Source organism: Homo sapiens, chromosome X (assembly GCF_000001405.40).
Source record: "Homo sapiens chromosome X, GRCh38.p14 Primary Assembly".
NCBI lineage: Eukaryota > Metazoa > Chordata > Mammalia > Primates > Hominidae > Homo > Homo sapiens.
In genome coordinates this window covers 63135547-63161342 of record NC_000023.11, presented here as the reverse complement: position 1 = coordinate 63161342, position 25796 = coordinate 63135547, and the positions used below count along the sequence as shown (strand labels likewise).

Sequence of the window (25796 nt, the reverse complement as noted above, 5' to 3'; positions counted from 1 at the left end):
TTGAGATCTGGGGCCCTGCTGACCCTGGAGGGACTGCTCATCCCAGGGTTAGCCATTTCCTAGAGCAAGAAAATAACTAATCTGACAGTGTGCTTTTCAAATACAAGTCAATCAATACAGAGGATACACGGTTAACCACTTCCTTTTTTGGTCTTTTATCTCTGGGCCACTATCCCTCTGCCTTAATCACTGCCAATGCAAGGTATTCTTGAAATTATTAAAACCAGACACTTGTAAACCAGCTTAAATAGGCTCACCAATTTCTTCCCATAAGAACAACAACAGAGGTTCTTGACCACAATTCTCTCCTCTTCCTCTACCTTCTGGCAGACCCTAGTGCTTTTTTATTTGGCCTCCCGTGGCACGGTGTGCCCCTTCCTTGTGGGAACTGTAGCTAGTAAACTATCTTATTAATGGCAATCATCTCCTTGTATGTTCGACTTACTCACTATACCTGAAATTTTCTATTAATACATTACATTTTAAAACATAACATAGTACATCTGTTTTGTTATGTATATATGTATATTTCAGAAATACACTCACACATATATATGTGCATATATTCTTACCATTAATATATAATCTTAAAAGCAAGATATGCACACTCTCAGGATAAGAATTTTGAAAATGAGTATGCTAACATTAATGTAGTCCTGTTATCTAATTTAGGTGTTAGTAAACTAAAACCCGTGGGACAACTGCCTGTTTTTGTAAATAAAATTGTGTTGGAGCAATGCCAAGCCTACTGGCTTACCTCTTGTCTACAGCTGTTTTTGTTTTACAAGGACAGAGTTCAGTGGTTTCAACAGTGATCCCATGACCCAGAAAGTCTAAAATATTTACTCTCTGGCAATTTAAGAAGAAGTACTCCTACCCTGATAATCTAAAATCCTCATTTGAATTTCACCATCTATCCCACTAATGTCATTTAAAGCCAAATAAATATATTCCTTTTTCTGGTCCAGGATCTGATACATTATCAGGTACCACATTTAGTTGTAATGTCTCTTTAGTCTCTCTTGATGTGGATTGGTTGTTTAACATTTGTTTTTTATTACTTTAATACTTAAAATATAAAGGCCAGTATTTTGTAGACTGTCCTTCAATTTGTGCTTTTTGCTGGTTTTTTTCCTATTAATTCACTCGATATTGTACAGTTTAGGAAGGATTAGCACACCATTGTTACTATGTTATTCTCAGTACGTCATAACAGGAAGCAAAGAATAACTATTTGCACCATTAAATCTTGATATTAAATTTGATCGCTTGGCTAAGGTGATATCTGCTAGATTTGTCCACTGCCAAGTTACTGTGTTTTCCTTTGTAATTAATAAATACTTTTAGGGAGATATAATGTGAGAATATGTAAATATCTCTAGTCTCACCATACTTTCACCCAATAATTCTAGTATTTATTGATGATTTTCATCAGAAATAAATAGCTTTATGGTGGTGGCCAACTTGTGATTTTTTTTCATATCAACATTTTCTTCTACATTTACTTGCAATTATATTGTAAAAATGACCTTTGATGTTTCCAGTACTTATTTATTCATTTATCTATCTAAGTATGAATACACGGATATGTCCCTGATTTGGTAAGGGAAATCCTGTTCAAACTGTCTTCCGTGTTCTTTGTGTGTACTTATCAGTCTTTGAAACTTCCTTAATTAATGGCACAAAAATATATGTCTGGTTCATCTTGTATTTTCTCTGTACTAAACATAGAGTTAGCCATTTCTCCAAGGAGCTCTGGTTCCATTGAGTAGATAACAGTAAATGGAAGCCAAGATCTTTGTGCTAGATGTGCTTATTGCTGTTGAGGTGTCCATGCTTCTACTTACTCCTCTCAGGGGGCAAGAATGCAAACATAGAAGATTATATATAATAATGTATAGATAGAGAAATATAGATACAGAAATAAAAATTAGATAATTTTTACACACATACACACAAAAACACATAGAAGCGTGTGCATAATATCTATAGATGATAGATTGATAGATAGATAGATAGATAGATAGATAGATAGATAGATAGATAGATATAGATAGATAGATGATAGATAGAGATAGAGATAGAACATAAGCTACATGTTTGTTTGTTCATACTAACATCTATAATTCTAGTCCAACACCACCGGGCTCATTTTCGCATTTCCTTTACCACATTTGTAATTCACTTCTCTAAGAATAGAAAATTTGGTTTCAATTATCAACAAAATACAATTTCAATACACATTAAATAATTTTGAAATTTCTAACCCATAAATCTATACAGAACAAATCTATTACACGGAGCTCAATATTTGTACCATATATTCTTATTGTGGTAAGTCCACTTAACATAAGAAGTTCCATTTAACAAATTTTTAATTGTACAATACAATACTGGTAACTACTGTTACTGGGTTGTACAGCAAATCTCTAGGAGTTATTTATCCTGCATAACAAAAATTTTAAACCTGGTAAACAACAACCTCCCATTTTTAATGCCACTAGCCCCTTGAAATCACCATTCTATTCTCTGCTTCTTTAATTTTTAATATTTCAGATATACAAGGACAGTCATGCAGTGTTTATCTTTCTCTAACTGGCTTATTTCCCTTAGCATAATATCCTTTATGATTATCTATGTTGTTGTTTACGGCATGATACTCTCCTTTGTGAAGTCTGAATAACATTCTATTTTGTATATACCACATTTGTTTCACTATTCATCAGTCAATGGCTACTTGGATTGTTTCTATATGTTGGCTACCGTGAATGATGTTGTAATGAACATGGGAGTACAAATTTCTCTTCAGGATTTTGATTTCTATTTTGCGGGGTATATGCACAGCAGTGGAATTGCTGGGTCATATAGTAGTCCTATTTTTAATCTTTTGCAGAACCTCCATACTATTTTCCATAGCAGCTGCACCATTTTACATTCCCACCAACAGAGTACAAGGGGTCCCATTATTTAACATTTTCTTCGTAACTTGTTATCTCCCGTCTTTTTCATAGTAGCCATCCTAACTAGTGTGAAGTGACATCTCACCATGGTTTGATTTGCATTTCTCAGGTTAGTGATGTGGAACACCTTTTCATATACTTGTTGGCTGCTTGTATGTATTCATTGGAGAAGTGTCTATTCAAGTCCTTTGATGATTTTTTAAATTGTGTTGTTTGATTTGTGCTATTGAGTTGCAGGAATTTGTTATATATTTTTATACTAACGCAGTAACAGATATAGCATTTATAAACATTTCTCCCTTTCAATAGGCTGTATTTTATTTTGTTGATTGTTTTCTCTGCTGTGTAGAGGCTCTCCAGTTTGATGTAATACCACTTGTATCTTTTTGCTTTTGTTGCCTTTGATTTTAGTGACATATCAAAAAAATCATTGCCCAGGTTAATGTCAGCGAGTTTTTATCTATACTCTTGTTTAAGAGTTGAACAGTTTCAGGTCTTATACTTAAATCTTTAATCTATTTTAAGTTGATTTATGTATATGGTATAAAATTAAAGAACCTACTCACCAACGAGATATAATAATTATAAACACATACATACCAAACATCAGAGAACATAAATATATAAAGCATACAGTGAATAACTGAGAGGTAAAAATATACAGCAATTTAATAATCATAGGAGATTTTAATACTGCACTTTTAACAATGCATAGGACATGCATACAGAAAATTGATGAGGAAATAACAAACTTGAACAACATTATAAACAGATGAACTTAGATATACGCAGAACACTGCAACCAACAGTCCCAGAATACACACTCTTTTCTTCTTCTTCTTCTTTTTTTTTGTTTTTGTCTTCAACTTTTATTTTAAGTTCACGTGTGCAGGATGTGCAGGTTTGTTACGTAGGTAAACGTGTGCCGTGGTGGTTTGCTGCACCGATCACCTCATAACCTAGGTATTAAGCCCAGTGTCCATTAGCTATTCTTCCTGATGCTCTCCCTGACCCCACCGTCCTGACAGGCCACAGTGTGTGTTGTTCCCTCCATGTGTAAATGTGTTCTCATCATTCAGCTCCCCCTTGTAAGTGAGAACATGCGTTGTTTGGTTTTCTGTTTCTGCATTAGTTTGCTGAGCCTAATTGCTTCCAGCTCCACCCATGTCCTTGCAAAGGACATGATCTTGTTCCTTTTTATGGCTGCATAGTATCCCATGGTGTATATGTACCACATTTTCTTTCTCCAGTCTACCACGGATGGGCATTTAGGTAGATTCCATATCTTTGCTATTTTGAATAGAGCTGTAATGAACTCACACATTGCATGTATCTTTATAATAAAATTATTTATATTCCTTTGGGTATATACTCAGTAATGGGATTGCTGGGTCAAATGGTATTTCTCCCTGGAGGTCTTTTGAGGAATCGCCATGCTGTCTTCCACGATGGTTGAACTACTTTACGCTCCTACCAACAGTGTAAAAGCGTTCCTTTTTCTCTGCAACCTTGACAGCATCTGTTGTTTCTTGACTTTTTAATAATAGCCATTCTGACTGGTGTGACGTGCTATCTCATTGTGGTTTTTATTTGCATTTCTCTGATGATCAGTGATGTTCAGCATTTTTTCATATGTTTGTTGGCTGCATGTATGTCTTCTTTTGAGAAGTGTCTGTTCATGTCCTTTGCCCACGTTTTAATGGTTATATCTTTTCTTGTAAATTTGCTTACGTTCCTTGCAGACTCTGGATGTTAGACCGTTGCTAGATGGATAGATTGAAAAAGCATTTCTCCCATCCTGTAGGTTGTCTGTTCACTCTGATGATAGTTTCTTTTGCTGTGCAGAAGCTCTTTAGTTTATTTAGATCCCATTTGTCAGTTTTTGCTTTTGTTGCAATTGCTTTGGGTGTTTTCATCATTAAATCTTTGCCCATGCCTATGTCCTGGATGGTATTATCTAGATTTTCTTCTAGGGTTTTTATAGTTCTGGGTTTTACGTTTAAGTCTTTAATCCGTCTTGAGTTAATTTTTGCATATGGTGTGGGGAAGGGGTCCAGTTTCAGTTTTCTGCCTATGGCTAGCCAGTTCTTTCAGCATCATTTATTAAATAAGGAATTCTTTCCCCATTGCTAATTTTTGTCAGGTTTGTCGAAGATCAGTTGGTTGTAGGTGTGTGGTCTTATTTCTGCATTCTCTATTCTGTTCCATTGGTCTGTGTGTCTGTCCTTGTACCAGTACCATGTGGTTTTGTTTACTGCAGTCTTGTAGTATAGTTTAAAGTCAGGTAGCAGCTTTGGTCTTTTTGCTTAGGATTGTCTTGGCTATTCGGGCTCTTTTTTGGTTCCCTATGAATTTTAAAGTCGTTTTTTTTTTTTTTTTCTCTATTTCTGTGAAGTCTGTCAATGGTAGTTTAATGGAAATAGCATTGAATCTAGAAATTACTTTGGGCAGTATGGCCGTTTTTATGATATTGATTCTTCCTGGCCATGAGCATGGAATGCTTTTCTATTTTTTTTGTGTTCTCTCTGATTCCTTTGAGAAGTGGTTTGTGGTTCTCCTTAAAGAGGTCCTTCATTTCCCTTGTTAGCTGTGTTTCTAGGTATTTCCGTCTTTGTGTAGAAATTGTGAATGGGAGTTCAATCATGATTTGGCTCCCTGCTTGCCTATTGTTGGTGTATAGGAATGCTAGCCATTTTTGCATATCCATTTTGCAGAATAGACATCCTTTTCAAGCACACCTGGAACATTCTCCAGGACAAGTTACATGTTACACCACAAACCAAGTCTTAACAAATTTAAGAAGATTGAAATAATAGCAAACCTCTTTTTCAATCAGAATAAGATGGATCTAGAAATTAATAACAACAGGACAATTGGAAAATACACAAATATGTGGAAACAAAACAACACACACATGAATAAGCAATGGATCAAAAAAGGGAAATCATGAAATATCTTGAGACAAATGAAACTGAAAACACGATATAGCAACACATAAGGGATACCGTGAAGGCAGTTTCTTTTCCGAATTTCAACTTTTGTTTAAGATACAGGGAGATACAGGGGTTACATGTGTAGGATTGTTACATGGCAATTTTGGACCCAGGTAGTGAGCCTAACGTTCAATAAGTAGTTTTTCAACCAACATTCCATTCCCTACCACCTACCTCTAGGAGTCCACAGTGTCTATATTTCTCGTGTTCATGTTCATGTTCCCATGCTCAGTGTTAAGCTCCCACTTATCCATGAAAACATGTGGAATTTTGTTGTTTCTTCTTGTGTTAACTCCCTTATGATTATGGCCTCCCCCTGCATCCATGTTGCTGCTAAAAAGAAAAAGAAAAAAGATTTTATTACATTTTTATGGCTGCATAGTATTCCATGGTATATATATGTACCACATTTTCCTTATCCAATCTACCGTTGATTGTCATCTGGGTTGATTCCATGTCTTTGCTACTGTGAATAGCACAGCAATGAACATAAGAGTGCATATGCCTTTCTGGTAGAATGATTTATTTTCCTTTGGGTACATAGCCAGTAATTGAACTGCTGCATCAAAGGGTAACTCCGTATTGAGATGTTTGAGAAATCTCCAGAGTGTTTTCCACAGTGGCTCTACTAACTTACATTTCCACCAGGAATGCATAAGTGTTCCCTTTTCTCTGCAGCCTCACCAGCATCTATTGTTTTTTGACTTTTTAATACCCATTCAGACTCGTGTGAGATGTTGTCTCAATTTGGTTTTCATTTGCATTTCTCTGATGATTAGTGATGCTGAGCATTTTCCATGAGTTTTTGTTGCTTATATGTCTTCTTCTGAGAAGTGTCTGTTCAATGTCATTGCCAATTTTTTTTTATTATACTTTAAGTTCTAGGGTACACGTGCACAACGTGGAGGTTTGTTACATATGTATACATATGCCATGTTGGTGTGCTGCACCCATTAACTCGTTATTTACATTAGGTATATCTCCTAATGCTATCCCTCTCCCCTCCCCCCACCCCACAACAGGCCCCGGTGTGTGATGTTCCCCTTCCTGTGTCCAAGTGTTCTCATTGTTCAATTCCCACCTATGAGTGAGAACATGTGGTGTTTAGTTTTCTGTCCTTGTGATAGTTTGCTGAGAATGATGGTTTCCAGCTTCATCCATGTCCCTACAAAGGACATGAACTCATCCTTTTTTATGGCTGCATAGAATTCCATGGTGTATATGTGCCACATTTTCTTAATCCAGTCTATCATTGATGGACATTTGGGTTGGTTCCAAGTCTTTGCTATTGTGAATAGTGTCGCTGTCATTGCCAATTTTTAATGGAGTTATTTGTTTCTTCTTAATGATTTTTTTAAAGTTCTCTATAGATTCTAGATATTAGGCCATCGTAGAATGCATAGTTTGTGGATGTTTTCTCCCATTCTGTATGTTGTCTGTTTACTGTGTTGATAGTTTCTTTTGCTGTGTATAAGCTCTTTATTTTAATTAGGTCTCATATATCTGTTTCTGTTATTGTTGCAACTGCTTTTGGGGACTTGGCCAAAAATTCTTTGCCAAAGCCAATGTCAAGAAGAGTATTGCCTGGGTTGTCTCCTAGGACTTCTGTAGTTTGAGGTCCTACATTTAAATCTTTAACTCATCTTGAGTTAACTTTTGTATATGGTGAAAAGCAAGGGTCCAGCTTTACCTGCCTGTGGCTAGTCAGTTATCTCAGCACCATTTCCTGAATAAAGAGTCGTTTTCCCATTGCTTGTTTTTATCATCCTTCTTGAAGATCACACGGCAGTAGGTGTTTCATTTTATTTCTAAATTTTCTGTTCTTTTCTTTCCATTAGTCTATGTGTCTGATTTTGTACCAGAACCATGCTGTTTACATTACTGTAACTTTGTAGTATCATTTGAGGTCAGGTAGTGTGATGCATCCGGCTTTGTTCTTTTGCTTAAGATGTCTTTGGCTATTTAAGGTCTTTTTTGGTTCTGTCTGAATGTTAGAAAAAGTTTTTCTAATTCTGTGGAGAATGACATTGGTCATTTGATAGAAATAGCATTGAATTTGTAAATTACTCTGTGTCATGTTGACATTTTAATGATATTGATTCTTCCAGTCCATGAGCATATATTTTTGTTTTGTTTTGTTTCTGTCATCTCTGATTTTTTAAAATAGTGTTTTGTAGTTATTCTTATGGTAATCTTTCACCTTCTTGGTTAACTGTATTCCTAGGTACTCTGTTTTCTCTGAGCCTACTATAAGGGAACTTCCGTTTTTGATTTCACTCTCAGCCTACGTGTTGTTGGTAAAAATGCTACTGATATTTTTGTACATTGGTTTTGTATCCTGAATCTTTACAGAAGTAGCTGATCAGTTCTAGGAACCTTTTGGCATAGCCTTTAGGATTTTCTACGTATGGAATCATATTGTCAGGGAAGAGAGATGGTTGGACTTTTTCTTTTCCTATTTGGATGCCTTTTATTTCTTTCTCTTTTCTGATTGCTCTGGCTAGGGCTTCCAGTACTGAATAGGAGTAGTGTGAGTAGATATCTTTGTCTTGTTCCACTTCTCAAGGAGAATTGTTCCAGCCTTTTCTCACTCATATAATGTTGGCTATGGGTTTGTCAGAGACAGCTTTTATTATTTTGAGGTATATTCCCTTGATGCCTAGTCTGTTGAGGTTTTTTTTTTTTATCATGAACAGATATTGAATTTTATTGAAAGCTTTTACTGCATCTATTTCAATGATCACATTGTCTTTGCTTTAAATTCTGTTTATGTGCTAAAGCACATTTATAATTTGCATAAGTTGAATCATCCTTTCATCCCAGGAATAATGCTTACTTGATTATGGTGTACTAACTTTTTGAGGTGTTGCTCTGCTGCTGGATTTGGTTTGGTATTATTTTGTTGAGCATTTTTACATCTATGTTCACAATGAATATTGGTCTGAGATTTCTTTTGTGTGTGTGCGTGTCTCTGTCAGATTATGATACAGGTCTGATGCTCATTTCATAGAATAAGTTAAAAAGGAGCCCTTCTTTCTCAAATTTTTGAGATAGTTTCAGCAGGGTTAGTACCAGTTCTTCTTCGCATGTCTGGTATCCCTCTTTTTCTTTGTTAACCTAAGAAAGGGTCTATCAATCGTATCTATTTTTCTGAAGATCCAATTCTTGGTTTCACTGATAGTTTGTATAGATTTTTGCAATTCAAATTTATTAAGTTATTCTTTTTTATTTTTTTTATTATACTTTAAGTTTTAGGGTACATGTGCACAACGTGCAGGTTAGTTACATACGTATACATGTGCCATGTTGGTGTGCTGCACCCATTAACTCGTCATTTAACATTAGGCATATCTCCTAATGCTGTCCCTCCACCCTCCCCCCTCCCCACAACAGGCTCTGGTGTGTGATGTTCCCCTTCGGGTGTCCATGTGTTCTCACTGTTCAATTCCCACCTATGAGTGAGAACATGTGGCAGTTTGTCCTTGCAATAGTTTGCTGAGAATGATGGTTTCCAGCTTCATCCATGTCCCTACAAAGGAAAGGAACTCATCATTTTTTATGGCTGCATAGTGTTCCACGGTGTGGTGTATATGTGCCACATTTTCTTAATCCAGTCTATCATTGTTGGACATTTGGGTTGGTTCCAAGTCTTTGCTGTTGTGAATAGGGCCGCAATAAACATACGTGTGCATGTGTCTTTATGGCAGCATGATTTATAATCCTTTGGGTATATACCCAGTAATGGCATTGCTGGGTCAAATGGTATTTCTAGTTCTAGATCCCTGAGGAATCGCCACACTGTCTTCCACCATGGTTGAACTAGTTTACAGTCCCACCAACAGTGTAAAAGTGTTCCTATTTCTCCACATCCTCTCCAGCACCTGTTGTTTCCTGACTTTTTAATGATCGCCATTCTAACTGGTGTGAGATGGTATCTCATTGTGGTTTTGATTTGCATTTCTCTGATGGCCAGTGATGATGAGCATTTTTTCATGTGTCTTTTGGCTGCATAAATGTCTTCTTTTGAGAAGTGTCTGTTCATATCCTTCGCCCACTTTTTGATGGGGTTGTTTGTTTTTTTCTTGTAAATTTGTTTGAGTTCATTGTAGATTCTGGATATCAGCCCTTTGTCAGATGAGTAGATTGCAAAACTTTTCTCCCATTCTGTGGGTTGCCTGTTCACTCTGATGGTGGTTTCTTTTGCTGTGCAGAAGCTCTTTAGTTTCATTAGATCCCATTTGTCAATTTTGGCTTTCGTTGCCATTGCTTTTGCTGTTTTAGACATGAAGTCCTTGCCCATGCCTATGTCCTGAATGGTGTTGCCTAGGTTTACTTCTAGGGTTTTTATGGTTTCAGGTCTAACATTTATGTCTTTAATCCATCTTGAATTAATTTTTGCATAATGTGTAAGGAAGGGATCCAGTTTCAGCTTTCTACATATGGCTAGCCAGTTTTCCCAGCACCATTTATTAAATAGGGACTCCTTTCCCCATTGCTTGTTTTTGTCAGGTTTGTCAAAGATCAGATGGTTGCAGATATGTGGCATTATTTATGAGGGCTCTGTTCTGTTCCATTCGTCTATATCTCTGTTTTGGTACCAGTACCATGCTGTTTTGGTTACTGTAGCCTTGCAGTAGAGTTTGAAGTCAGGTAGCGTGATGCCTCCAGCTTTGTTCTTTTGGCTTAGGATTGACTTGGCGATGCGGGCTCTTTTTTGGTTCCATATGAACTTTAAAGTAGTTTTTTTTTTTCCAATTCTGTGAAGAAAGTCATTGGTAGCTTGATGGGGAAGGCATTGAATCTATAAATTACCTTGGGCAGTATGGCCATTTTCACGATATTGATTTTTCCTACCCGTGAGCATGGAATGTTCTTCCATTTGTTTGTATCCTCTTTTATTTCACTGAGCAGTGGTTTGTAGTTCTCCTTGAAGGGGTCCTTCACATCCCTTGTAAGTTGGATTCCTAGGTATTTTATTCTCTTTGAAGCGATTGTGAATGGGAGTTCACTCATGTTTTGGCTCTCTGTTTGTCTGTTATTTGTGTATAAGAATGCTTGTGATTTTTGCACATTGATTTTGTATCCTGAGAGTTTGCTGAAGTTGCCTATCAGCTTAAGGAGATTTTGGGCTGAGATGATGGGGTTTTCTAGATATACAATCATGTCATCTGCAAACAGGGACAATTTGACTTCTTCTTTTCCTAATTGAATACCCTTTATTTCCTTCTCCTGCCTGATTGCCCTGGCCAGAAATTCCAACACAGTGTTGAATAGGAGTGGTGAGAGAGGGCATCCCGGTCTTGTTCCAGTTTTCAAAGGGAATGCTTCCAGTTTTTGACCATTCAGTATGATATTGGCTGTGCGTTTGTCATAGATAGCTCTTATTATTTTGAGATAAGTCCCATCAATACCTAATTTATTGAGAGTTTTTAGCATGAAGGTTGTTGAATTTTGTCAAAGGCCTTTTCTGCATCTATTGAGATAATCATGTGGTTTTTGTCGTTGGCTCTGTTATTCTCTAATTTTAGTTTTTTCTTTTAATTTTCTGCTGGATTTTGGGTTGGTTTGTTCTTTCCTTTCTAGTTCCTTTATGTGAAAAGTTAGATTGATAACTTGAAACATTTCTAACATTTTGATGAAGACGTTTAGATCTATACATTTTGCTCTTAACAAACACTGATTTGGCTGCATCCCAGAGATTTCAATAAGTTGTGTTCCTGTTTTTATTAATTTAATTTTTGTTAAATTTCTGCCATAATTTTGATGCTGTTCAAGAGTAAGTTGTTTTATTTTCAGGTGTGCATGTAGTTTTGAGAGGTCTTCTTGACTTTGATTTCTATTTTTATTGCACTGTGGTCTGAAAGTATGCTTGGTATGATTTCAAAATTTTTGAATTTATTGAGGCTTTCTTTATGACTGAACATGTGGTCAATCTTAGAAAGTATTTTATGTGCAGATGGGAAGAATGTATTTTTTTTTTTATTGTTGGATGAATGTTCTGCAGATGTCTATTAGGTCAATTAGTCAGGTGACTGGTTCAAGTCCAGAGTTTACCATTTCCTACCTTGATGATATGCCTACTGCTGTCAGTGGGATGTTGAAGTCCTTCACTACTATTGTGTGGTTGTATAAGTCTTTTTGTAGGCCAAGAAGAACTTGTTATATGAAACTGCGTGCTCTAATGTTGGGTATGTATATATTTAGGATGATAGTTGAAGCTTCTTGTTGGATTGTAGTCTTTATCATTATGTAATGTCCTTCTTTACTCTTCTTATCTTTTATTGGTTTAAAGTCTGTTTTATCTGATATAAGAACAGCGACTCCTGCTCTTTTAATTTTGCATTTGCATGGCAGATATTACTCTCCCTTTTTACATTGAGCCTTTACGTGTTTCTACATGTGAGATAGGTCTCACGAGGACAACAAATGATTGAGTTTTGTTTTTTTTTTTTAATCCAGCCTTCCATGCTGTGTCTTTTAAGTGGGATATCTGGCCCTTTTACATTCAAGGTTACTGTTGATATATGTGATTTTGATCATCTCGTCATTTTCTTAGCTGGCCGTTATGTAGACTTGATGACGTAGTTGCTTTACAGTGTCTGTGTGCTATGTGCTGAAGTGTGCTTTTGTGGTAACAGGTATTGTTCTTTCGAATCCACGTTTTGCACTCCCTTAAGGGCCTCTTGTAATGCTGATCTGGTTGAAATGTATTCCCCCAACATTTGCTTGAATGAAAAGGATTTTATTTCTCCTTCACTTAGGAAGTGTAGTTTGACAAAATATAAAATCATTGGTTGATTTTTTTTTTCCTTGGAGATGTTCAAAATATGCGCCCAATCTCTTCTGTATTGCAAGGTTTCTACTGAGAGGTCTACTGCTAGCCTGATGGGGTTCCCTCTGTAGGTGACCAGCCCCTTCTCTCTAGCTGCCTTTAATTTTTTTCTTTGGCATTGACCTTGGTGAACCTGATTACCATGTGCCTTGGGGATGGTTGTCTTGTATAGTATCTGCCTGGAGTTCTCTGTATTTCTTGGATTTGCATGTAAACCTCTCTAGTGAGAGGAAGATAATTTTCATAGACTATAACTTCAAATATATTTTCCAAGATGTTTATTCTCTCTCCTATCTCAGGGATGCTGATTAATCATCGATTGAGTCTCTTCACATAATTCCATATTTCTCAGAGGTTTTGTTCATTTTTGTTAGTTTTTTTCTCTTTAATTATTTATTTGTTTTTGACTAAGTTGATTTGAAGAACTGGTTTTCAAGCTCTGAGATTTCTTTCTCAGCTTGGTTTATTCTGGTATTAATACTTCTGATTGTGTTATAAAATTCTTGCAGTGAATCCTTTCAACTCAAGAAGTCTAGCCTGGGATTGGCTTAAAATGGCTATTTTGTCTTTCAGCTCTTGAATCATTTCACTGGATTACTTGGTTTTCTTAGATTGGGTTTCAGCTTTATACTGAATCTTGAAGAGCGGCCTTGCCATCCAGATAATTCCATGTCTGTCATTTCATTTATTTCAGACTGGTTAAGAGCCATTACTGGTCTCATTTTAATTTTATTATTATTATACTTTAAGTTTTAGGGTACATGTGCACAATGTGCAGGTTTGTTACATATGTATACATGTGCCATGTTGGTGTGCTGCACCCATCAACTCGTCATTTAGCATTAGGTATATCTCCTAATGCTATCCCTCCACCCTGCCCCCACCCCACAACAGTCCCCGGAGTGTGATGTTCCCCTTCCTGTGTCCATGTGTTCTCATTGTTCAATTCCCTCCTATGAGTGAGAACATGCAGTGTTTGGTTTTTTGTCCTTGCGATAGTTTGCTGAGAATGATGGTTTCCAGTTTCATCCATGTCCCTACAAAGGACATGAACTCTTCATTTTTTATGGCTGCATAGTATTCCATGGTGTATATGTGCCACATATTCTTAATCCAGTCTATCATTGTTGGACATTTGGGTTGGTTCCAAGTCTTTGCTATTGTGAATAGTGCCGCAATAAACATACATGTGCATGTGTCTTTATGGCAGCATGATTTATAATCCTTTGGTTATATACCCAGTAATGGCATTGCTGGGTCAAATGGTATTTCTAGTTCTAGATCCCTGAGGAATCGCCACACTGACTTCCACAATGGTTGAACTAGTTTACAGTCCCACCAACAGTGTAAAAGTGTTCCTATTTCTCCACATCCTCTCCACCACCTGTTGTTTCCTGACTTTTTAATGATCGCCATTCTAACTGGTGTGAGATGGTATCTCATTGTGGTTTTGATTTGCATTTCTCTGATGGCCAGTGATGATGAGCATTTTTTCATGTGTTTTTTGGCTGCATAAATGTCTTCTTCGGAGAAGTGTCTGTTCATATCCTTTGCCCACTTTTTGATGGGGTTGTTTGTTTTTTTCTTGTAAATTTGTTTGAGTTCATTGTAGATTCTGGATATTAGACCTTTGTCAGATGAGTGGGTTGCGAACATTTTCTCCCGTTCTGTAGGTTGCCTGTTCACTCTGATGGTAGTTTCTTTTGCTGTGCAGAAGCTCTTTAGTTTAATTAGATCCCATTTGTCAATTTTGGCTTTCGTTGCCTTTGCTTTTGCTGTTTTAGACATGAAGTCCTTGCCCATGCCTATGTCCTGAATGGTGTTGCCTAGGTTTACTTCTAGGGTTTTTATGGTTTCAGGTCTAACATTTATGTCTTTAATTCATCTTGAATTAATTTTTGTGTAACGTGTAAGGAAGGGATCCAGTTTCAGCTTCCTACATATGGCTAGCCAGTTTTCCTAGCACCATTTACTAAATAGGGACTCCTTTCCCCATTGCTTGTTTTTGTCAGGTTTGTCAAAGGTCAGATGGTTGTAGATATGCGGCTTTATTTCTGAGGGCTCTGTTCTGTTCCATATGTTCTGTATCTCTGTTTTGGTACCAGTACCATGCTGTTTTGGTTACTGCAGCCTTGTAGTATAGTTTGAAGTCAGGTAGCGTGATGCCTCCAGCTTTGTTCTTTTGGCTTAGGATTGACTTGGCGACGCGGGCTCTTGTTTGGTTCCACATGAGCTTTAAAGTAGTTTTTTCCAATTTTGTGAAGAAAGTCATTGGTAGCTTGATGGGGACGGTATTGAATCTATTAAATTACCTTGGGCAGTATGGCCATTTTCACGATATTGATTCTTCCTACCCATGAGCATGGAATGTTCTTCCATTTGTTTCTATCCTCTTTTATTTCATTGAGCAGTGGTTTGTAGTTCTCCTTGAAGAGGTCCTTCACATCCCTTGTAAGTTGGATTCCTAGGTATTTTATTCTCTTTGTAGCAATTGTGAATGGGAGTTCACTCATGATTTGGCTCTCTGTTTGTCTGTTATTCGTGTATAAGAATGCTCGACACTCTGGCTTTTTGCATTCTCAGAGTTCTTGCATTTATTCTTCCTCATCTTGGGAGGCTCATATTTTTAACTGTGATGTAAATTGAGTATGGCTAGTTGGCTTTGTTTCTGGAAGTTTTCAGAGGACCAAGTCTCTGCACGGGGTGTTCGTTGTTGAATTCTTGCCCCTTCGGTTTCACAGCGAGTAGTTTTTTGCTCTTGTAGTTTTGTCTGTGTTCCAGTAGATGGCGCTTGAGAGCAATGGGCGGTAGGTAGGCTGTTAGTTGCGTGGTTTCTTTGTGCATCCTTGTGCTTGCAGTTCTGTTGTGAGGTGCGAGGGGAAGATAGTTAACCCTCTCGCCAGACCTGCTCCTGGGCCTTTCAGGAGCCACCTACAATCACTGGCACTGTGCCCACAATTTTGTTGTTATTGATGTTGTTGTCGGGTCTTTTGGGCCATGGGGGGGGGGCTCCTTTAAGGGGAAGTCCCCTTTCCCAGGCACTGTCCGGGGCTGGGAACCAGACTTGGTGTTCAGGTACTCCGTGCCGTGTTCCCAGTTTCCTCCCTTTACAGCCTCAGCATCTGCTTCTCTTCTCCGTCCACATTTGGCATTTTCTGTCCAAAGATCTGTTCAATTTATGTTGGTGTAGTTGAAATCATATTTTCTTTCCGTGGGAGCAGGACTTCTCAGCTGCATCTAGTCAGGCTGCTTGCTCAGAATTTTTTTGAATTTTTTGAGACTTGCTTTGTGGAGTAATATTTGGTCTATCCTGGAGAATATTCCATGTGCTGATGAGAAGTATGTGTATTCTGCAGCTGTTGCATGAAATGTTCTATAAATGTATATTAGGTTCACCTGATCTAGAGTGACGATTAAGTTGAACCTTTCTTTGTTGAGTTTCTGTCTGGTTGATCTGTGCAATGATTAAAATGAGGTGTTTAGGTCACCTGCTACCATTGTCTCTCTCTTTTTTAATAGTATTTTCTTTATATATCGGGGTTCCATACAACGGTTATATTCTCTTCCTGATTTGACCACTTTATCATCATGTAATGATCTTCTTTGTCTCTTTGTGTAGTTTTTGTCTTGAAATCTATTTTACCTGATATAAGTGCACTACTCCTAGTGTTATTTGATTCTGATTTCCATGGAATAACCATTTCTATTCCTTTATTTTTAATCTATGCATATCTTCACAGGTATAGCCACTTTCTTGTGGGCCGCATATAGCTGAATCTTGTTTTTTATCCATTCAGCTGTTCTTAACTTTTACTGAATAATTTAGTGTAAATTTAACCTGATTATTCATTGGTAAAGAGTAGTACTGCCACTTTTTTACTTTTTTTTTTTTTTTCCGTTGTCGGTGGTGCTCTCTTTTTTCTTGTCTTCCTTTGTGTAAAAAAGGATTTTATCTAGTAGCTTGTTTTGATTTCTTGATTTTCAATATTTAAATCTATGTTATAGGGGTTTGTTTGTGGTTGCCATGAAGCTGATGAATAACATCTTATAACCCATTTTTAAACTGATGACAACTCTGATTGCCAAAAAGAGCAAAACAAATAAGCAAAGAGAAAACTATGAAAACATTCTACACTTTAACTTCATTTCCTCTGATTTATGACTTTGTCTGTCTCTGTATCTTTTTATATTGTCTATCTATTGAAAGATGTTTGTCACTATCAGTTTTGGCAGTTTATTTGTCTTCCTGCTAAAGATATGAGTGGCTAAGACACTGCAATTGCAGTGTTATAGTATTGTGTACTTTTCTGTGTACTTGCTATTACTGACAGGTTTTATATCTTCAGATAATTTCTTTGTCATTTTGTAACTGCCTTTTCTTTCTGATTGAAGCACTCTCTTTACCATTTCTTGTAGGACAGGTCTGATGTAGACATGATCTCTCAGCTTTTGTTTGTCTGGGAAAGTGTTTATTTCTTCTTCATAGTTGAAGGATAATTTTGCTGAATACGATATTCCATGTTGGGATTTGTTTTTCTTCAGCATTTTGGATATGCTATCTCACTCTCCCCTGGTCTATAAGAATTCTGCTGAGAAGTCTGCTGCCATACATATTGGAGCTCCTTTATGTGCTATTTGTTTATTTTTCTCTTGGTGCTTCTAGTATCCTCTCTTTATCTTTGACTTTTGAGAATTTATTAAATGCCTGGAGATGTTTCATTTGGCTTTAATCCACTTGGTGTTCTAGGACCTTCTCGTACCTCGGTATTCCTATGATTCTTTAGGTTTGGATAATTGTCTGTTACTATATCTTTGAATAAACTTTATCCCCTTTCTCCCTACGTCTTGTTCAAGGCTAAGAACTCTTAGATTTGCCCCTTTGCAGGTATTTTCTATATCTCATAGTCATGCTTTAATTTTTAAATTATTTTTTCTCTTCTGTGTATTTTCATATAGCCTGTCTCTAAGCTTACTATTTTTTTTCTGCTTTATCAATTCTGCTGTTGCTAGGGTCTAATGCATTTTTTTCAGTATGTTAATTGTACTTTTCAGCTCCAGCATTTCTGCTAGATTTTTCATAGTTTCTCAGTCTCTTTTTACAATTCATCTAATAAAATTGTGACTCTATTGTCTGTATTATCTTAAAGTTTGTTGAGCTTCATCAAGGCAGGTATTTTGAACTCTCTGTCTGAATGGTCACATATATCTGACACTTCATAGTTGGTCACTGGTGCCTTACTTAGTTCATTTGGTGAGGTCATGTTTTTCTGTATGTTCTTGATGCTTGTGGATATTTTTCAGTGTCTGCTCATTGAAGAGTTAGGTATGTACTCTAATCTTAGTATTCTGCACTTATTTTTACCCATACTTCTCGAGAAGGCTGTTTACATATTCAAAGGGTATTTAGAGTGGTAATTTAACTTTGTGGTCACTGCAGCCATATCAGGATTGTAAGGCACACTAAGTTCTAAATTCAGTAACAGCGCAGCTCTTGCTGACTCCTTGAAGCACCATGTTGGTGGTGTTGGTTAAGTTAAGGGAAAATTTCCCGGGTTACCAGAAAAATTATCTCACTCTCTTCCCTCTCTTTGTCCTAATCAAAAGGAGTCTCTCTCTCTCTCTCTCTCTCTCTCTCTCTCCCTCTCTCTCTCTCTCTCTCTCTCTCTCTCCCTCTCCCTCTCTCTCTCTCTCTCTCTCTCTCTCTCTACATGCTGGGCTGCCTGAAGTTTTTGGAGGAGTGCCACAAGCCATCCCATGGCCACCGCAGGTAGCACTGCACTGGATGACACTTGAAGCCAGTACACTGTTGGATTGCACCCAAGGCTCATGGCAATGACTGCCTGGCTACTGCTTATGGTTATTCAAGGCCCAGAAGCTCTTATGTCTGAATGTGGTGAACTCTGTCAGAACTAAGTTTTATTTTTTTTTTAATTTCTTTCAGAACGGTGGATTTTCTTTTGGTCCAGAGTGGGTCTAGAAATGCTGTCCAGTAGCTAAGGCCTGGAATCTAGAGCTTCAGTAATCTGCTTGGTGCTTTATTTCAGTGTGACTAAACTGGTACCCGAGTTGCAAGATGAATTTCTCTGTACTCTTCCCTCTCATTTTCTAAAGTGGAAAAATTTTATCCCTGAGCTGCACTGCCTGGAACTGGGGAGCTGTTACACAGTCTTAATAAACTATTTTATTACCCTAGGCAATTGTCTGCTAGATAGTCCTAAGCTTGCATATTAAAGGAAATCTTACGTTAAAAAAAATATGGTAATGACATTTACATCTCATAGTACAGAGAGAAGTAGTCTGGTGCTAGAGGGAGATTAAAAATGGATGCCAAATAAAAATTATAGAAATCCGTCATAGGACTGTAAGGGGAGACCGGTTGTATTTAGATAGAGACTACCTATCTTTTAACTGTATCTCTGAGCTCTGGATAGGGCCCATACTGAATCCTGGGTCTCCAGACAGGGAGAATTATTATGAGGCTAGACCACATGATGCTTTTACAGTGCACTTTTAAAAACATTAACAAAGACCGTTCTAAATGTCTAAACTATCCTCTTTCTTAAGTACCCAAGAATAGCCTCCGTTACAATAACTATTTTAGTCAAAAAATCTGGTAACACAATGCAAAAGCAAGTACTTTATGATCTGAGACAAACTTTTCTCTTTACCCACTCTCGGGGTTCCATAAAGAAAAACAAGTTTCTCCCCAGAAAAGAGTCTGGTGCTTTGTCTGTTTTCTTCAGTGAATCCTGGGCTATTATAAGCTGTTTTAGGCCCCTCATGCAGCAGACGGAGGCAAGAGAAAGCAGAGACAGCAGAACTAAATGAAGACAATGAAATTCAATAAACTGAGAAAAAAATAATAAACTTCTGCTCAGAGGAGACAAGGTCTTAGGAGAGAAAAAAAACCATAAAGTCTTTTAATGCAAACATACACACACGTGCACATGTACACACACACACACACATGCACACATCTTGGATGTTAGCTTTTAATTAAGCTGACTTTTAACCATTGAGCTCCTTAAAATAATATTTTTAAATCTCATTGTTACTGTAAAGGAGTCCAGATCCAGACCCCAAGAAAGGGTTCTTGGATCTCATGCAAGAAATAATTTGAGGTGAATCCATAAAGTGAAAGCAAGTTTATTAATAAAGTTAACTAATGAAAGAATGTCTACTCCATAGGAAGAGTAGTGGCTTGGCCTGCTTCACTAAGGATACTTCCAGTTATTTCTTGATTATATGCTAAATAAGGGGTGGATTATTCATGAGTTTTCCAGAAAAGGGGTGGGCAATTCCCAGAACTGAGGGTTCCTACCATTTTTAAACCATATAGGGTAACTTCTTGATGTTGCCAAGGCATTTGTACATTGTCATTGCACTGGTGGGAGTGTCTTTTAACATGCTAATGCATTATAATTAGCATATAATGAGCAGTGAGGACAACCAGAGGACACTTTTGTTGGCATCTTGGTTTTGGTGTGTTTTGGCCAGCTTCTTTATCACAAACAGTTTTATCAGCCAAATCTTTATAATCTGTATCTTGTGGAGACTTCTTATCTCATCCTGTGAATTAGAATGCCTAACCTCCTGGGAATGCATCCCAGTAGGTCTCAGTCTTATTTTACACAGGGACTATTCAAGATGGAGTTTCTCTGGTTCAAATGCCTCTGACATATTTACCCCCTCCCTTTTATAAGAGAACCCTTAATCCTAAGGGCTGTAGAGAGAGGAAGATTCATCTTCTGTAACTTCTTCAGGCTGAACAGGGGGGATGATATTCATGCCTAACCTCTTGCATTCAGGTTAGAGAAGAGCTCAGTCAAAAAGCATCATTATGGTGAGGGCCATTCATAAGTCTTGAGTTATGACAAAAGGTGATATCTGGAAGATTAATAAGTGTTCAGTTTAAGAATACATTCAGTAAGAGAACCCTTAATCCTAAGGGCTGTAGAGAGAGGAAGATTCATCTTCTGTAACTTCTTCAGGCTGAACAGGGGGGATGATATTCATGCCTAACCTCTTGCATTCAGGTTAGAGAAGAGCTCAGTCAAAAAGCATCATTATGGTGAGGGCCATTCATAAGTCTTGAGTTATGACAAAAGGTGATATCTGGAAGATTAATAAGTGTTCAGTTTAAGAATACATTCAGTAAGAGAACCCTTAATCCTAAGGGCTGTAGAGAGTGGAAGATTCATCTTCTGTAACTTCTTCAGGCTGAACAGGGGGGATGATATTCATGCCTAACCTCTTGCATTCAGGTTAGAGAAGAGCTCAGTCAAAAAGCATCATTATGGTGAGGGCCATTCATAAGACTTGAGTTATGACAAAAGGTGATATCTGGAAGATTAATAAGTGTTCAATTTAAGAATACATTCAGTAAGCTTATCCTGCATTCCTACGCAAAGAGTACGACAGCACTATATTTCACAACAGTAAAACAAAATAAGTAAAATTATCCCAAGTAAACTAAATAAGAAGGCTTTTCATGAACTGGGAGACTTTGGAACCAAAGTGATATGGAGTTGCTATACATGCTATACATTCCAATATGTGCTCAGAATTAGAATATTGATCCAGATTTTTTACATTACCCACCTCTCTTGTTACTTTTGAACAGCCATAAGAGATCACTGGTTGGTTCACAGAAATAAGCAGGTTCAGTCTAAATCGTAGAAAGAAAACTCAAAAATAACTGATGAGATCACAATTTTATAACAAGTGTACCATTGTTTTTAAAATATGTTTTTTCTATCTCTCCATTCTCCCATTTTTACTAAAGACAAATCCTAACAGGGCTGATTTGTTTGCAAAAATACGCCATAGTCTTACACTTAGCCTGATTATTTGTGTAAAGTACAGCAAAAATAATCATTTTTCACATAGGCTTTTTAAATTGGCTTTGATTGGACTTTGTTCCACAAAAGGAATCTCAGATAAGGTTTTTTTCCAAAGCCAAGCCTAGCCATAGGTTTGTACTATCAAATATTTATCAGTTAGGTAAATTCCTCTTTTTTCGAGGTCCCAAGATAACCTAGGGCTCCTGGGCCTGTTAGAAAGTGACATTCTTTATTTACTACAGGTCAGGAACCCTGTACGGGACAGTGTAGACAGGGTATGAGGCCAGTTTTCCCAAGGGGCTTTTATTGGCCCTGTAAGCCAAATTCGATTCCTTAAAGGAAAGCATGCCATTCCAGTCAAAGCCTTGGTAAAATAACTGGTTTCTTTTATTTTGTCCTGTTACAAAAGAAAACATTCTTATTGCACTTATGCAAATAACTATATTGTCATAAGTTAAGAATACTCACAAATAGTTTCCAAATTCTGGAGAAATCAGGTAGAGAGAAACAAATATGCTCCAAATTTTGTTCACAGGAGTATATTTTACTTACTTGTTAAAAGCTGCAAATCACTCAAAAGAAAAGTTTTATTGGCTCTGAAAAACAAAACAGAGGATCCTTTTAAGCAAAAAGTCAAAAAGATTACTTTAGTCTTCTATTAGTCCAGTCCATGTTGTTAACTCCTGTTCTGCCTGATATTCGTGAACATTTCAGCACTCCAGGAGATCCTGAAAGTTTTTTCTTCTATTCTAACATCAAAATCTCCAAATTTATCAGAAACCTGCATTTAAGAACACCTATTAGAGTTCTGTAGCTGATTATGAAACCACCTCTAAAGAAAAAAAAAAAAAAAAAAAAAAAAAAACAAGGCAACAATTGTCCCTGGATGACAAAACACTTTAGGGCAGTCTCTATTAAAGCCACAATTGACTAAGAATTTTGGTGACTTCTGTGGCATACAACAATTTTACATAACAATTATTATAACTATTAATAGCATACACTAAGTTATATCAGAGTTACAGAAGTTTCTAATAATTTTGGAACACCTACCAAAAACATATATTCACAAATACAGCCTAAAGAAAGAACTCTTAGGAACCATTGGTGGAAAAACCTGGATTGTAGGTGATTTTAACTATGTACTACCTTTGGAGCCTAGGACACAGAAAGAAGTGCAGATAAGGTTTGACTATCCAGCATAACTAGGAGGCATGGCTAACACCACATATCCCCAGGCTTTACCTAGAATCTGCTTCAAAGTAAGTAGGTTGAACAATTTTCAAAAATCAAAGAAGCCGTTTATGACCCTAACACATCTAGCAAACTTAATATTTAACCTACTTCAGACCAAATGTCTGAATTTTGAAGACATTTGAATTTTACCAATGATCTTCAAAACTGTTTTTATTTCTGAAACTTTACTAAAGTCACATGGACTAAAAGGCATTCATTCGTTTTTATTTTCTGATAGAATGTTAGATTTAAGCTCTTATGATTTTTGAAAACAATCAAAGCTCTTTCATATCACACACACACAACACATATAAATACATAGACAGAAATGTTCCAGTAGTTTTAAGATTTTTTATTTGCCAGGTTCTTAATCAGATTACTGCTTCAGGGTGGAGCCCTTGGAGGAACAGGGCCAGGAAAACATGCAGTTTCTATGGCTTAATAAATAGGCAGAGCTGGAAAGCAAAAAAGATCCCCCAAAATTTAAGGGTCCCATTTTATATCATATCTTAAATCCCAAAAAAGACAAATGCTACAGAACAAGACAGTGCAATGATTTTACTGTGCATTTCACTGCAAAGCAATTCAAAGCCACTCAACCTACTCTGTGATTACCCCATCTTCCATGGGAGTCTTAGGTCTCAGTGTGGGGCAGGGATGAGCACATTGCCATACCTTCTAGGTGGCCAAGAGCATGCTCCTCTGATCCAAACATGTGAAAAGCCAAGTATTCACCTTTAACTGTCATTAGCTATTCCCCAAAGCATATTTCCTACCCAGTTATTACACACCAAAGTTCTATTATAATGTGGAGCAATTTCTGATCCCCCCAAGGGTTAAAAACACCTGATAATGCAATGCAAAAGAGAAAAGAGCCTTAGATTGTGAAGGGATCTCTCCACTTCTGGTTCCTGGGGTTTCATGAGAAAAAAAAAAAAAAAGAGTTTTTTCCCAAAACAAGGTCTGTGGCACTACTTGTTGTTCACAAGGAGTCCCAGGCTTTTAGAGCTTGAATATCCTCTTTTAATTAGGCTGACTTTTAAATGTAATACTCTTTTTAAAAAGATCCTTTTAAATTTCTTATTACCCAAATTTAGCCAGGCCAAATGGCCAATATTTCTGTCCTCAAAGAAAGAAAAATTCAACATGGTTTGTGGAGGGGAAGATAATCAACAAATGGTAAATGTCATGCAGATATCAAACCAGAAAGGGCTTATTCCCTAAGCCAGGAATTGAACCCTGAACCTGTGCCACCACTGGAAAAACACAAAGCCTTAGCTGCTAAGCTGCAGAATTGGAAATATTTTATTGCTCTTCCCAGGAGACTAGAGCAGTCAATTTTGAGATTGCATTGGCTTTTAACTGCTCAATTTAATTTTCAGAGATAACTATGACATGTACCCCCAAATTCCTCTTCCCTGGATGGCAGAGACCAAGAGAAAGTACCACCACATGTATACAAGATATGGCAGAGACCAAGACAAAGCTCCCAAGGACATTTTTCAACATGCGATCTCTGGGCAAGAAGGTTCCCCTGAATGACAGAAAAGATAGGACAGGGAAAGAAGAGAAAGAGAGAAAAGCATTGCCTGAAGCAGAGTGGGGAAGGTGAGGAACTCAGGGAGGCCAGAGAAAGACCCACCCACTGCAGTTAGACTTAATCAAAAGTTCAAGCAGCTGCTTTTCAGTCACAAACGGATCTTACCCAGAAGTCCCATCAGCTCTCGAGTGTCTCCCTTTTGGGGAAAAATAGCTCGCCATGTCCTTTGATCCTGAATATGTTTAATTCTGTCTCCCGTAGCCATCAGCAAAGAGTGCAAGGCAGATAAGTCCAAAGAAAATAGCAGTTAACATCCAGTAGTGCCAAACCCACTTTTAGCCGAGAGGAACTTTACTGAGAGGGGCCTCCAACCCCATAAATCTTAGGAAGGGCTCTAACCTTCCTAAGTTGGGCCCCAAACAGGTTCAGTCAAGCACCCTTGCCTTTTATTAAGAGGGGGTCTTTAACCCTCTCTATCTTAGGGCAGACTCTAACTTTTCTAAGTTGGGTCTCTAACCCAATTCCATTCTTTACCGAGTTAAATGCGCCTCACTTACCCAAAGTTGGCCAAGTGGTGCTGCACACAGAAGATTTTCCTTTGGGTCGGGGGTCATTTCAGTATAATCCCTTAGTGGTTTGCCAGAAAGATGTTACCAGAAAGGAGTCTGAATCCAGACCCCAAGGGAGGGTTCTTGGATCTCACACAAGAAAGAAATCAAGGCAAGTCCATAAAGTAAACACAAATGTATTAAGAAAGTGAGGGAATAAAAGAATGGCTACTCCATAGGCAGAGCAGTGGCTTGCACTGCTCCATTAAGGATACTTCTAGTTATTTCTCAATTATATGTTAAACGTGGGCTGGATTATTCATGAGCTTTCTGGGAAAGGGATGTGTGCTTCTAGGAACTGAGGGTTCCTCCCCTTTTTAGACCATATAGAGTGACTTCCTGACATTGTCATGACATTGGTAAACTGTCATGGTGCTGTTGGGCGTGGCTTTTAGCATGCTAATGTATTATAATTAGCATATAATGAGCAGTGAGGACAACCAGAGGTCACTTTCATCCCCAAATTGGCTTTGGTGGGTTTTGGCCGGCTTTTTTTGCTGCAACCTGTTTTATCAGCAAAGGAAGACTTTATAACCTGTATCTTGTGCTGACCTACTAGATCATCCTGTGACTTAGAATGCCTAACCTCCTGGGAATTCAGCCCAGTAGGTCTCAGTCGTATTTTACCCATCCCCCATTTTAGATGGAGTTGCTCTGGTTTAAACACCTCTGACATCATTACCACATTTTAGCTAGGACAGATTGTTGATATTTCAGAGGTAACAAGTATCAAAACACAAAGGTCTTGATTTAGGAAGCAAACTCAGGCTGTCATAGGGAAAAT

General features: G+C 37.5%; 1 long non-coding RNA gene across 5 annotated transcripts; it reads right to left on the bottom strand.

Moving 5' to 3' along the window:
* LOC105377211 (uncharacterized) lies at window positions 1-25438 on the bottom strand. Of its 5 annotated transcripts, none has more exons than XR_007068250.1 (4): window positions 21387-22462; window positions 20107-21128; window positions 6128-6286; window positions 1-5808 (listed from the first exon to the last, which is right to left on the bottom strand). It is a non-coding gene; the product is annotated as an uncharacterized LOC105377211 (long non-coding RNA). The 5 variants fall into 5 exon arrangements; XR_938414.2 differs by lacking the exons at window positions 1-5808; window positions 6128-6286 and adding an exon at window positions 24570-25438 and having other exon boundaries at window positions 19916-21128; window positions 21387-21453; window positions 22181-22224; XR_007068249.1 differs by having other exon boundaries at window positions 1-6286; window positions 21387-22459.
* Window positions 25439-25796: the final 358 nt, after the last annotated feature.